The sequence below is a fragment of the Homo sapiens genome, chromosome 2 (assembly GCF_000001405.40).
Source record: "Homo sapiens chromosome 2, GRCh38.p14 Primary Assembly".
In the NCBI taxonomy this organism is placed as follows: Eukaryota; Metazoa; Chordata; class Mammalia; order Primates; family Hominidae; genus Homo; species Homo sapiens.
The window spans coordinates 234,976,095-234,989,190 of record NC_000002.12 but is presented as its reverse complement, the minus strand read 5'-3'; the positions used below and the strand labels follow the sequence as shown (position 1 = coordinate 234,989,190).

General features: G+C 50.9%; 1 protein-coding gene and 1 long non-coding RNA gene across 11 annotated transcripts in view, besides 6 other annotated features; one reads left to right on the top strand and one right to left on the bottom strand.

Annotated features, from left to right (window-relative positions):
• SH3BP4 (SH3 domain binding protein 4) overlaps positions 1 to 13,096 on the bottom strand; it is a 103,698-nt gene that overhangs the window by 66,524 nt on the left and 24,078 nt on the right. For 2 of the 9 annotated variants that reach the window (NM_001371303.1, NM_001371304.1), the window contains exon 1: positions 10,291 to 10,488. The exons of 3 other annotated variants lie outside the window; for them this stretch is intronic. The gene's annotated coding sequence lies outside the window, so the exon portion shown is untranslated. Of the gene's footprint in view, positions 1 to 7,463; positions 9,730 to 10,205; positions 10,489 to 13,096 lie in introns of those variants that run through there. 4 more of the 9 variants (XM_047443851.1, XM_047443850.1, NM_001371305.1 and 1 more) reach the window with 4 other exon arrangements.
• Positions 4,303 to 5,016: an enhancer, noted in NCBI's record as "H3K27ac-H3K4me1 hESC enhancer chr2:235892819-235893532 (GRCh37/hg19 assembly coordinates)". NCBI's record gives its function as "activates a minimal SCP1, AML or CMV promoter by ChIP-STARR-seq in naive H9 embryonic stem cells {active_cell/tissue: H9 hESC(naive)}" and the evidence as "EXISTENCE:reporter gene assay evidence [ECO:0000049][PMID:30033119]".
• Positions 4,303 to 5,731: a biological region, named in NCBI's record as "H3K27ac-H3K4me1 hESC enhancers GRCh37_chr2:235892104-235892818 and GRCh37_chr2:235892819-235893532".
• Positions 4,992 to 5,286: an enhancer, noted in NCBI's record as "tiled region #10474; HepG2 Activating DNase matched - State 5:Enh". NCBI's record gives its function as "activates a minimal TATA promoter and a strong SV40 promoter by Sharpr-MPRA in HepG2 cells {active_cell/tissue: HepG2}" and the evidence as "EXISTENCE:reporter gene assay evidence [ECO:0000049][PMID:27701403]".
• Positions 5,017 to 5,731: an enhancer, noted in NCBI's record as "H3K27ac-H3K4me1 hESC enhancer chr2:235892104-235892818 (GRCh37/hg19 assembly coordinates)". NCBI's record gives its function as "activates a minimal SCP1, AML or CMV promoter by ChIP-STARR-seq in naive and primed H9 embryonic stem cells {active_cell/tissue: H9 hESC(naive and primed)}" and the evidence as "EXISTENCE:reporter gene assay evidence [ECO:0000049][PMID:30033119]".
• Positions 8,116 to 8,853: an enhancer, noted in NCBI's record as "H3K27ac-H3K4me1 hESC enhancer chr2:235888982-235889719 (GRCh37/hg19 assembly coordinates)". NCBI's record gives its function as "activates a minimal SCP1, AML or CMV promoter by ChIP-STARR-seq in primed H9 embryonic stem cells {active_cell/tissue: H9 hESC(primed)}" and the evidence as "EXISTENCE:reporter gene assay evidence [ECO:0000049][PMID:30033119]".
• Positions 10,413 to 12,251, top strand: LOC105373939 (uncharacterized). 2 transcript variants are annotated; one of them, XR_924008.1, is made up of 3 exons: positions 10,413 to 10,504; positions 10,626 to 10,847; positions 11,701 to 12,251. It is a non-coding gene; the product is annotated as an uncharacterized LOC105373939 (long non-coding RNA). The 2 variants fall into 2 exon arrangements; XR_924007.3 differs by lacking the exon at positions 10,413 to 10,504 and having other exon boundaries at positions 10,633 to 10,847; positions 11,701 to 11,896; positions 12,081 to 12,251.
• Positions 11,713 to 12,265: an enhancer, noted in NCBI's record as "H3K27ac-H3K4me1 hESC enhancer chr2:235885570-235886122 (GRCh37/hg19 assembly coordinates)". NCBI's record gives its function as "activates a minimal SCP1, AML or CMV promoter by ChIP-STARR-seq in primed H9 embryonic stem cells {active_cell/tissue: H9 hESC(primed)}" and the evidence as "EXISTENCE:reporter gene assay evidence [ECO:0000049][PMID:30033119]".

The following is a 13,096-nucleotide window of genomic DNA, read 5'->3' as shown; positions in this document are numbered from 1 at the left end:
ACAGAGACTTCATGGCCTGGCCATGGACCCAACCCCAGGTTTTTCATTCTCTATGAGGGCAGATCATTCCACTCCGAGACAACCAATTTACAGAACTGAGAAAGCGACACTCTGATAGATGGACAAAAGCCTTTCTACTTCATGCTATCAAAATCAACACTATTAAAACTTACACACTGACAACGTATTTGGGCAACAGATGGATGAAGCAGCCAAGTGAGAGGGCCTGAAATCTCACCTGATGGATGTTACATTTTCTTATGCAGAACACAGAACTGCTTCACTTACCCTTCCTGTAATTACATAAAATTTCCAATTTTACAGAGAATGTGATACGGAATGGGATATAACCTTCCTCTCTCCTGTGTTAAACCTAGAATGAATACTAAGCATAAAAATGGAGGAGGGGCGTTGAGACAACCACCCACCCAGCACCCGCAACGGCTTTGTTCACCTGTTCATGCGTCCCCCCTACACACCGTGAGCTCCTCCTGGCACCCGCGCAGCACCGAGTGGCTGCCTTCTCTGAACGCCCTCCCTCCCTGGCAGGGCGGTGGAGGAGGCGGAGGCCCCCTGCCTTTGAGTGTGAAGACGGGAGGACAATGAGACACAGGGCCCACTACACCTGTGTGGCCGGAAGACTACTTTCTCATTCCCCTTTGGGCTCTGCTCCCCTGGCTGGAGCTGGGGTCCTTGTTGTGGAAATTTTACATATTTAATTACTACATAAACTGATGGCCAGGGGTGAGACAAGGGCAGCTCCCTTGGCAATTCAAGTGAAATGTTTCAGAAAGACTCGCTAAAGGTGAATCACTTAAAAACGTGGCTGGCGGGCCGGGTGTGGTGGCTCACGCCTGTAATCCCAGCACTTTGGGAGGCCAAGGTGGGCAGATCATGAGGTCAGGAGATCAAGACTATCCTGGCTAACACGGTGAAACCCTGTCTCTACTAAAAATACAAAAAATTAGCCAGGCGTGGTGGTGGGCGCCCATAGTCCCAGCTACTTGGGAGGCTGAGGCAGGAGAATTGCTTGAACCCGGGAGGCGAAGGATGCAGTGAGGCGGGATTACACCACCGCACTCCAGCCTGGGCGACAGAGTGAGACTCTGACTCAAAGAAAAAAAAATGTGGCTGGCAAGCTAAATGACATTAAACACCTGAGGAAAATGCAGTCAACTCTAGGAGAACTCTGGGCATGGATGGCTTCACCAGTGTCCCTGTGTCATGGCGCCATCTTGGACTGGAAATCAATGATGTCATCATGCATGTGGGTTACACAGGAGACACCATGGCCAAACCCACACTCAGAAAAGACCTGCACCCAACAGAAAGACTGGAAGACCCATGCACACTCGGCTTTTCCTTGTATTTTTAATGATTCTTCTAGACTTTGACTTTTTCAACTCACTGCCCAATCACTTCTGGAGCCTCACAAGATCTAGTTCATCATTCTGGACTCTACTGTGGCTGTGGGGGGTGAAGGTTTTAATCCAAGGTTTCGAAAATCACCACCTAAAAGCAAGCCAAGGAGAGTGTCTCAAGGAAGGCGTCCTAGGCTTTGATTCTGACCTCGGAACTCTCTCGCATGAATAAGTGGGGGGACACCATGAGCCGCCCATGTTGGGGGGAGGCGGCCTGGGGAATGAAGGGTCTGGAGATTGTCATAAGTCAAACATGTGGGTTCACGTTTCTCACACCAGCTCCACGACCTTTGCTAAATGACTCATCTTTCCTGGGCCTCGTTTTCCTCAACTGTAACATGGGGCTCTAACGTACATCAAGTTCATGTGGGTTTCTCTTGCTTTAATTTTTCTTCCAGCCTGTAGACCATGTTGAGGGCAGGGACCCTGTCTTTTTTTTTTTTCTTTGAAATATACCAGACACTGAGTGCCAAATACATAGTAGAAATTGCATACAACACCCGTGAAATTCTGTGACTAAGGCAGTAGTTCTCAAACGCCAGCATTCACTGGAATTACCTGGAGGGCTGATTACAACACAGGTTGCTGGGCCCAACAACGCTCAGTTTCTGATTCTGTAGGTCTGGGGTGGGCCTGAGAATGTGCATTTCTAACATGCTCCCAGCTGATGTTGATGCTGCCTCTGAAAACCATTAGCAGGCCGGGCGGGGTGGCTCATGCCTGTAATCCAAGCAATTTGGGAGGCCAAGACGGGTGGATCCCTTGAGGTCAGGAGTTAGAGACCAGCCTGACCAACATGGTGAAACCTCATCTCTACTAAATACAAAAAATTAGCCGGGCATGGAGGCACATGCCTGTAATCCCAGCTACTTGGGGGGCTGAGGTTGCAGCAAGCCAAGATTGAGCCATTGCACTCCAGCCTGGACAACAAGAGTGAAACTTCATCAAAAAAAAAAAAAATAAAATCATTAGCATAATGTATCCTAGTTGATAACATACTTTCCCATCTGGCCTCTCGGTCGCTTTTCACAACCCTATGAGGTAGGCCAGACAGGTATCATCATGCCATCATTTAGCAGATAAGAGAACTGAGGCTGACCAGGTTTCAAAGACTCACCCGAGATCAGGAAGTGAAAAGCTGGGATCCTAACCCAAAGCCACCAGCCATGATATGCAGAGTAACGACAAACACAAACAGAACAATCCCAAGACCACACAGGCTGCAGTAAGACAGGACGTGGACAAGTGAGGGTGTAAGATTCCAGACCAGGCTCCAATCCTGCATTTCCTTTTCCCATGGCAGGTTATAAAATCACAAGTCTTTGAAAGTAGAAGTTAACATTCCTGCCTGAATCAGACTACGAATGTTTGTGACGGAGTCTTGAAAGAGTTTTGTCCCCCTAATAAACCTTTAGGAGGCTGAAAATATCTGGGAAACATCAGTATGTTGAAGACTTGGACCTTATTTAAATATGGACTCAAATCCTGGCTCTGCCACTAAATGCTGGGACCACAGTTAAGTCTTATCCTTCCTCCTCAACTCAGGGTAGGGAGGGAATGACTGGGCCTCCTCATGAATAAGAGAGATAACGCCTGCACCATGGTCTCTGTGCTCATAGGTGTGAGTGGAGGGCTGGTTCACCTGCACATGGACCCTGAGCTCATAGGTTTGTGTCAAGGGCTGGTTCACCTGCACATGGACCCTGAGCTCATAGGTGTATATCAAGGGCTGGTACACCTGCACGTGGACCCTATTCTCGTAGATGAGTGTCAGAGGCTGGTTCACCTGCACTGTGGTCTCTGCGCTCATAGATGTATATCAAGGGCTGGTTCACCTGCACATGGTCCCTGTTCTCGTAGGTGTGTGTCGAGGGCTGGTTCACCTGCACATGGACCCTGAGCTCATAGGCGTGTATCCAGGGCTGGTTCACCTGCATCATGCTCCTTGAGCTCGTAGGCGTGTGTCACAGGCTGGTTCACCTGCACCGTGCTCCTTGAGCTCGTAGGCGTGTGTCACAGGCTGGTTCACCTGCGCACAGTCCCTGAGCTCATAGGTGTGCATCGAGGGCTGCTTCACCCGAACATACATCAAGGGAGGATGCTACAAACAGACAGTCAAAACACCTGTGCGCAGAGGGTCAAAAATATCTGTGCGCAGAGGGTCAAAAATACCTGTGCGCGGAGAGTCAAAATGCCTGCACACAGAAGGTCAAAAACACCTGTGCACAGAGAGTGAAAAACGACTGTGTGCATTGGGTCTAAAATGCTTATGCACAAGTGTCAAAAACAGCTGTGCACAGAGGGTCAAAAATGCTTGTGCACAAGAGTCAAAAATGTGTATGCAGGTGAGATGCGTTTTCCCACTTCATTCCCCTTCATTCACGCACACTTTTGACTTTCTCCCATATTCTTCTAAACAGCTTCCGCCACAATGACTGTCTGTGAAGTCATTAAGGCAGATGTTGGCAGGTGACTCAAATCTTGGTGGATGGAGCTAAACTATGTGCCTTTCTTATGACTCCCAGGGGACAGCCACAAAGTGAGGACTTCGTGGAAGTGAAGGCCAGCTATAGTAGATCTTTGTACACTCACTACTCTGTTGCTGCGCTGTCAAGATATTCTCCAAATAGGGGGTGTGATCTGCAGGTGCTCCGCTATCCCAGCACACCACAGCCCCAAGCCCGGGTCAGCCTGCAGGATGGAGGATGCGCTGCAGACATATAGCCCCCAGGGCTGCCCTGGGGTCGACGCCCCCGCCTCCTGGCCTCCAGAAAGACAATTCTAGGGCATAGTCTCATGGCTCCTCAAATGCGTCTCCAGCATGATGGAGCCCTAATAGTTGGTTAACAGTGGCCACTAGCTCAGTAGCTGACCCCCGATTAGCTTTTCCTCTTCCCTCTTCTCACCCTCTTCTATTTGGATGGACTGCTGGGACCAGTCATCTCCCCGAAAACATCAGCACCCAAGTCCTTGTCTCAGGCTCTGCTTTCAGGGGTTGTAAACCAGGACAGATGGTAAATGGTGCTAGACCACTGGGTTTTCTGTCCACGACACAGGCACTCAGCTGAGTGATGTAACTGAGGACTCGGTCGGTTCTGGTCCTGAGCACTCAGTCGGTTCTGGTCAAAGCCAGTGGGCTGTTACGGATTGTTAGAAATTCCCAATTTAGAAAGCCAAGCAAATATTTTCTTCTGTTAATAAGATACACTTATACTCAGCAAAGGGGATTGATTCCTCATCTGACATTTTTACACTGAAAAGGACAGGGCTTAGTGGCTCATGCCTGTAATTTCTACACCTTGGACAGCCAAAGCAGGGGGATTGCTTGAGCCCAGGAGTTTGAGACCAGCCCGGGCAATACAGCAAGACTTCGTCTCTACAAAAAGTTAAAAAAAAAAAAATTAGCCAGGCATGGTGATGTGTGCCTGCAGTCCCAGCTACTCAGGAGGCTGGGGTGGGAGGATCACTTGAGCCCAGAGGTCGAGGTTGCAGTGAGCCATGATTGCACCACTGCACTCCAGCCTGGAGACAGAATGAGACCCTGCCCCGCACCAAACAAACAAACAAACGAAAACTCATACACGTGTATATGCCCTGTGGGTCACTTCCAGGCTGAGGACAACTGCCAGAGCAGGGATTCCTGACCCTTAGCTAGGCCTGGATCCTGGTTCAGGCTCTGTGGCCCCAGCCCACGTGTCAGCAGGGAAGCCCAGCCCCAACCTCAGATGGCTCTGCTCAAACGTAACTCCCTCAAAGCCGCAGAACCCTGCGTGACTTTCCTATCGATGTTGTAACAAACTACCACAAACTTAGTGGCTTAAAACACACATTGACTCTCCAACAGTTCTGGAGGCTGGAAATCTGAAACCAGGCCCACTGGGCTGACGACAGGGCCAGTGCCTTCTGGAGGCTCCGAGGGGGTGAGCTGCTTCTGTGGCCCTGCCCTTTCCTGCATCCCGTGGCTGCCTGGATTCCTGGCTCAGGGCCCCTCCACCATCTTCAAAGCTCGGGACTCCAGTCTCTGCTCCCACCATTCCAGGGCCTCCTGCTGTGGTAAGATCTCCATTTCCCTCTTAAAAGACCCGTGATAACATTTAGGGTCCATCTGGGTAATCCAGGGTATCTCACCATCTCAAGAGCCTTCAATGAATCACACCTGCAAAGTCCCTTTTGCCAAATAAGGTAACACCTACAGGTTCTGAGCATTAGGATAGAAATATGTTTTTTGTGGAAGGGATTACTCAGCCGACCACACCGTATCAAAAACACAAGCACACCATTGCTGCCCACTCCCTCCCCTGGTCTCGTCCACCGCTCTTGACATTCTTGTATCTGTCATTTACTTCTCTCCTTTTTCTCCCACCAGAACAGGCTCCATGAATGCAAGGACTTTGTCCTGTTCACCAGGAACAACCTGGAACATAGCAGGTGCAGTCAGCCAATGTTTGAATGGATGGATGATTTATAGAGTACCCATATGCCAATGCAGGTGGACAGACGGGAACTCAGAGCTTCTCAAGCACAAATCTGGGGACAAAAACAAGAAGCACCTTGAACGGGCTGTGTGGAGTGCCCTGGGTAATTGGCACCCGGGTGTTTCGCAAGTTGGCCTGTATGGCCTGCGGGCAGGAACCCACCTGTCCTGCTCACTTCTGTATCCCCACCCAGCCCCTAGGCCTGCACTAGTGCTCAGCAGCAGCTGCATCAATAGCACCTGCTGCCTGAACAGAAAAGGAAGCTTCCCAAGCACCTGTAATCGGCAGTTTGGTCTCAGGTCCACCGATCCACCACCTCCCCGCTGGTCTCAGCTGCATCTCTCCACCAAATTTACAGCCCCACTGCCTCATCATCATTGTATTATCCCCGGCTCAAGAGCACAGGGTGCCTGCTCCTTCCTGCCTCTTCCTCCCTTGGAGCCAGGCTTCCCTGCCCCATTTCGGGGTTCTCTGCAGTTTGCCCTACCCCACGTGGACAGACTCCATGGCATCCACTGGTCACTCCAGCCAGGTCAGCGGCCCCACCCTCAAACTCCCCTATACATATCCCACCTCCTCCCATTTGCCCACTGCCCCTGTGACTAGGGAATGCCTCCTTGGTCCCCTCCCTGCCTGTGCAAAAACTGCCTCTCCCTCAAGCCCCACACTGAGGCTTCCCCGCAGCCTGTGTTCCCAGGTCTCGGGGATAGCCCACCTGCCACCCAGACTCTCAGCCCCACAGCACTTCCTCCCTGTGCGTGAGTTTCTGACCATCTTTTTTTGCTCCCCAGGGAAGAAGATGGTTTAATTTCTCCTGTGCCCTCCAGCTGCTGGGCTTTGAGACCTATAGACTAACAGTTCCATTTACGAGCTGCACACTACTGGACAGGCTGGTAACCCTCCGGCCTCTCCATTCCGCCTCCATAAAGTGGGCACACGACCCCAGCCCAGCACCAGCAGGCGGAGGGCACCAACACAGAAGTGGACAAAACCCTGCAAAGCCACAGGTGTGCCCACTGGTGCCAATAGCCCACCTGGTGCCAGCGATGCCCCGCTCAGCTGGGAGAGGCCCAGGCACCACCAGAGACCAGGACAGAGCGGGCTTCAAAGTGTAGCTGGGCCGGGAGAGGTCTCTAGACAAAACCCAGAACAGCCGGTTACATCGAATTTTCAGGTGCACAACTAATAATGTTTTAGTGTACATTACCCCGGATATTCAAATGGACCCGGGTATTCTGCATTTGTATTTGCTCAACCTGGACCCCACTGCCTGTGCCAGTCAGAGGGAGTTTCCCAAAAAGCCCAGCCTCAGGAGGCGACATCAGAGGTGGCCACCCAGGAAGGAGGCGGGGACGGGAAAATGGCAGCCGAGCTTACAAAGAGATGCGCTCCACGATATTTGCTTCCCACTAAAGAGCTGTTTTCTAGAATAAATAAAATAATCTTCTTGCTAACTATCAACAAGGGATTGTTTCGGTAATATTTTTCCACTCCGGTATGATTCTGCAACAACTCGGAAAACAAAGCAGTCACTCCCACAACAAAGATCCCTGTGGAAACCGCTCACCTCCATCCCGAAAGTCAGTCGTGACTTCACCTCACATTCCGCCAGAAACCGACTGCAGATTGTTACCAAAGAATCCTTGTGCAAACAAACACCAGCCAACTGCGACTGAATGGCAGGAAATGTAGCAGCTTTTTCTAATTTTAACTTTCTCCAGGAATGCATTCCTTCTAAACACGCTGGGCAAATTCTCCCCAGACCCGTGCATTCCTCTGCGGTCAAGCAATCACCTTCAGGGGCCTAAGACAAACTGCAGATTCCAAGTGTGCACTGGCCTGGCTGTGAGGGGTCCCCGAGCTCCAGGTCCCGTGCTGACTCACTGAACGAGGCTCTCCAAAGTGACTAAGAGGTTGGAATGAGCTATCTGAACAGGAAAGCACTCCCAGACTAGAGGGGGAGCCACAGACGGGAACAGAGCCCAGCAGTCTCCACCTCAGGAAGGCAGCATCAAGCAAGAGCGATAAACAGGGGCCGAGTCCACAGGCACCAGTCCATGACCCAAAGACCAGGACACACAGGCCAGGACTAGGAATGCCGCAAAAGTGTAATTCTGCAAATTATCCTCCCGGGACAGAAAAATTCAGAATTGTGCCTGATTTGATTTTAAAAGCCCATGAGGGCAAGGGACAAACCGGGATGCAGTGTCTGCAATGCTCGTAACTAAGAGAGGCTTATTTTCCAGAAAATTCAAAGCACTCCTACAATTAGCCAGGCATGGTGGCACAAGGCTGTAATCCCAGCTACCCAGGAGGCGGAGGTTGCAGTGGGCAGAGCTTGTGCGCCACTGCACTCCAGCCTGGGCGACACAGTGAGACCCTGTCTCAAAAAAACAAAAACGAAAAGCACTCCTACAATTCAGTAAGAAAAACGGGCAAAAACCACAAAAAGGATTTCCGCATGGGAGGAAATCAGAATGGTCAGTGAACATTAGCTTCTGGCAGAACATAAAAACACTCAGATACCATCTCACACCCATCAGACCATCCCCCCAAGTGAAAAAAAGGCGGACAATATTGAGGGAGGGGAGCATGCGGAGGAGCCTGGGCGAACCTGAAGGCTGCTGTGGGAAGTGGAGCTGGACTGGCAGCCAAGGCCCAGCCGCACTCCCTAGATAAACATTTGCACGCTGAGCTGGAAGTCATGTACAAAGACCTTCACAGCAAGTGTGGTTTTTGATAGCAAAGGCTGTAAACAACCTATTGTCCTTTAGGAGCAGAAAGAATAATTAAGCTAAGGCATTAACATACAGCAGTCCCCCCTCACCCCAAGTTTCCATGGTTTCAGTTACCCCTGGCCAACTGTGGTCCCAAAACAGGTGCTACAGTACAATAAGATATTCTGGCAGGGAGAAAACACATTCACACAACTTTTATTACAATATAGTGCTATAATTGTTCTATTTTATTATTCATTATTGTTCATCTCTCAGTGTGCCTAATTTACAAACTAAACTTTCTCATAGGCATGTATACATAGGAAAAAATAAATAGTACATACAGGGTTTGGTACTATCTGAAGTTTCAGGCACCTTCTGGGGGCCCTGTATCCCCTGCAGATAAGGGGGGGACTACTTACAGGGGAAAGGCACATAGTAATGAAAACAGATGAACTACAACTACAGGTATCAACACAGATGAACCTCAAGAACATAATGCTCAGCCAAAAAACGAACTCTTGCAAGACTATGTATTAGCTACCTAATGCTGTGTAACAAATCGCCCCAAACAACAGACTTCTATTATCACACAGTTTCTGTAGGTTAGGAATCCAGATGTGGCTTAACTGGTAAAGAAGAGACTCTCTTCTTCAGGGCCTCTCACAGAGCTGCCATCAAAGTCTTGGCCCAGGCTGGGGTGTCATCTCAAGGCTAGACTGGGGAGGGGTCCTCCAGGGTCATCTGGGGGAGGGGTCCTCCAGGGTCATCTGCTTGTTGTAGCATCCAGTTACTTGTGGCCATGGGACTGAGGCTTCAACTGCATGCTGGCTGCCGGGGGAGGCCACCCTCAGTTCCTTGCCACATGGCCTCTCTATATGGCAGCCTGCTCCACCACAGCCAGCAGGGGAGACCATCTGTTGTCAAGGAAGAAGTTCTAAGCCCACATAATGTAATCACGGGAGGAAGGCACAGCATCAACTTGGATGCATCCTACTGGTTAGAAGCAAGTTGCTAGCTCGGCTCACGCCAAAGGGAGGGGACTTCACAGGATGTGAACACCAGGAGGTGTGGATCACTGAAGGCCATCTCAGAGTCTGCCAGCCACAAAAGATACTGCATGATTCCATGTACATAAAAGTTAAAAACAAAAACAAACGATGTTGCTTAGAAACACAACCCCATGTGATAAAACTAAAAAACAGCAGAGAATGACAACTGCGAAATTCAGGACAGGGACTCCCTCAAATGCTTCAGGTTTATCTGATAAACACATTTTTGCAGGAAGGGGAGAGGATCGGGAGCTGGAAGCTGGGATTGGGAGGGGCAAAGGGAATTTCAAAGTTAAGTTCCATTTCTTGGCCTGAGTAGTGGCTACACAAGTGTTCATTGTTTTTGTGATTGTGTAAACATTCCCAAATATTTTCAAATATTACCTGTATCTACTCAAAGTTCAGGGACCACATGGCTTGCTCCCTTAGCACCCCACAGAACAGTGAGGACAGGGGCTCTGCACCCTGTGAAACCTCAAGAAATGCAGCAGATGCCTCCCTGGCATCCCCGCCTCCACCTTGCCCTGCAAAGAAACGCACCAGCTCTGACCGAGAAGCATGTCCGGCACCCAGAAATCCTGCTGTCTCTCCTCGCCAAACCAAATGCAAAAGCCTCCAGCCTGACCTGGAGGTAGAGCCGTTCCTCCAGAGGTTCAGCATGTTCCTCCACGCAGCGGCATGACTCTCGGATCTCACCAGCCTCTTGCCCTTCAGTTTCAAATGCAGGCCACGGACGCTGCACGACTCGGTCTCTCTCCACAGGGCCAGGGCTCCCCTCCAGGACCTCGAAGCACCCTACTGTTGGGGTGCTTGTCTCTGTTTCAGTTGTCCCTCTTAAGGTAACTGAAAACAACCACGGATTTGCTGGAAGTTGGGAGTCGCCCAGAACCACATCCTGTTTGGCTCTGGCACTGATTCAATCATGCCAATGTCACCCGGACAAAAGAACTTTCTACACAGGCTTAAGAAAGAGACGCGGCACCTGCAGCAGGAAAGGAGCCCAGCCGGAGAGTTCACCGCACCAGTCAGCGAGCACAGAGTGCTGGACGGATGACCAGTGGGGCCTTGGGGCAGTGTGGGGCGCAGGAAAAGAGTACCTGGTCCCGCAGTGACTGCAGTGAGGAGGACCCTGCATTTTTACCCACCCTCCTCACCTGGCACCACTGCTGTACAGGCTGTCAGGTACTTGTTGAATGAATGAATGAATGGATGAATTAATGAATGAAGCTCTTCTCCAGGTGCAGTGAGGAAATGCCAAAATAGAAACAGACTGCCAGCATGGTGGCTCACGCCTGTAATCCCAGCACTTTGGGAGGCTGAGGCAGGCGGATCACCTGAGGTCGGGAGTTCGATTCCAGCCTGGCCAACATGGTGAAACCCCTTCTCTACTAAAAAATACAAAAATTAGCCGGCATGGTGGCGCATGCCTGTAATCCCAGCTACTCGGGAGGCTGAGGCAGGAGAATTGCTTAAACCCAGGAGGCAGAGGTTGCAGTGAGCAGAGATGGCGCCACTGCACTCCAGCCTGGCCAACAAGAGCCAAACTCTGTCTCAAAAAAAGTAAAAAATAAAATAAAATAGAAACAGACCATCCAAGTGGGACAGACTGGCCACTAGCAGCTGCAGGACACAACCTCGGTGACACCCTTCTTGCTTAAGACTAGAAACTCAAGTGCAGGGTCTCAGGGTCTGCGTGTGTGTGCACGCATGTGTGTGTGTGCCCATGTGTGTGCATATGCGTGTGCGTGTCTTTCCCAGCGCAGGGCTCACTCTGTGCACTAACTGCATAAGCAAAAAAAAATCATCTACGGAGCAGGTGCCTCGGTGTGGCTGTGAATATTCATACTTGAACCAGCCCTCTTTGGGGGAGAGACACTCTCATCCTGTTTTCCATCCACTCACCCCTAAGTCGCTAATGGGATTAGTGGGGGCTGGCACCACGGCCACAGGTCCAACACCTGCCAGTCGCCCCAGAGCTGGGTGCTCTGGGCTCTGAGTTTCAGAGCAGTTTAATAATGCACCATTGTCCCTGCAGCTCTGCTCCGGTTCTCAAGTTCACTCGGCAAAAAGCTGATCTGCCTCCGTGTTTAGAAGCTCCTCACTGGCCAGGAGGGTGGCTCACCTCTACACGTCTGGGCTGGAGAGAACAAAGGATGTGCTGTTGGGAAAAGAGATGGGCCTCGGCCCAACTGGGAGGCCTGGGCCCAGCTGCCATGGCGCACCAAGCGAGGGTCTGTAGGAAAGGGAAGTTCCCGGCCAGGAAATGGGGACCCTGAGCTTCTCCCCGGCAGGAGGTGCCCAGTGTCACCTGCCTGAAGCAGACACGGGTGCAGAGGGTCAGGCCTGGAACCCCAGCCTCCAACCAGCCTTCCTAACCACTCTTACCTATTTTCTTAAATAAGCTTTTTCTTTTAGGATAGATTTAAATTCATAGAAAAGTCGTGGAGATAATACAGAGAATTCCCACAGGCCTCCCGCCACCCGGCTTCCCTGTGAGTGTCTTACAGGAGGACGGCACCTTTGTCACAATGGATGTCGGTGCACTATCATCAAACAATAAAGCCTGTCCTTCATCCGGGTCTCCTATGTTTGTCCCTGAGGTCCTTTTTTTCTGTTCCAGGATCCCATCCAGATCACCACATGACATTAGGTGTCGTGTCTCTTTAAGCTCCTCTTGGCTAGGGCATCTCCCCAGACATTGTGTGTTTTGGGTGACCTTGACAGTAGAGGAGGCCTGGTTAGGTATTCTGTAAGACGCCCCTCGGCTGGGGGTTTTTCTCCCAGTTAGACTGGGTTGTGTGTTACTGAGAGGAAGACCAGAGGCAGGTGTCCTTCTTGCCACACAATGCCATCAGCGTGACTTATCCCTGCCATGGTGACCTTGGTCACCTGCCCAGCCCCTCTTAACCCCTTCCGCAGGCCCCTGCTTGCTCTGCTCAGAGATGCCCCTATGTCCGCTACCAGAGGCGGGTAAACATCGGCTTCTGTATTTATCATGAAACAAGAAGCCCCGGGCCGAGAGACGGTAGCCCTGCTTAACTGCAGGCAGCCACCCACAAAATGCAAGAGAGACCTTAACCTGGTACACACCGGCCCTGTCACCCCCTAAGGATCTAACTTAACTACTCAGAACTATCAGTTGACTATAAGGTCAACACAAGTTTAAAATCTAAGTGACTGAATGAATAAATAAATAAAGGTGACAGCCTGGCCTGCATTTATAAAAAGGCAATTTTTAGGAGAAGGGCCCAGATACCACCTGTCCTGCCCAAGCCCTTCAAACCTGGCCAGGTGGGCTGCTGCTGGGGTAACCCGGGCCACCCCGCAGGAGCCGCTCTTCATGGGTAGATGGGGAATCCGCAGGAGTCCTCCACAGGGGTCACTAGATGAAAGCCAGGGCCCCTGTCCCTAGAAGATACAACCACACACAT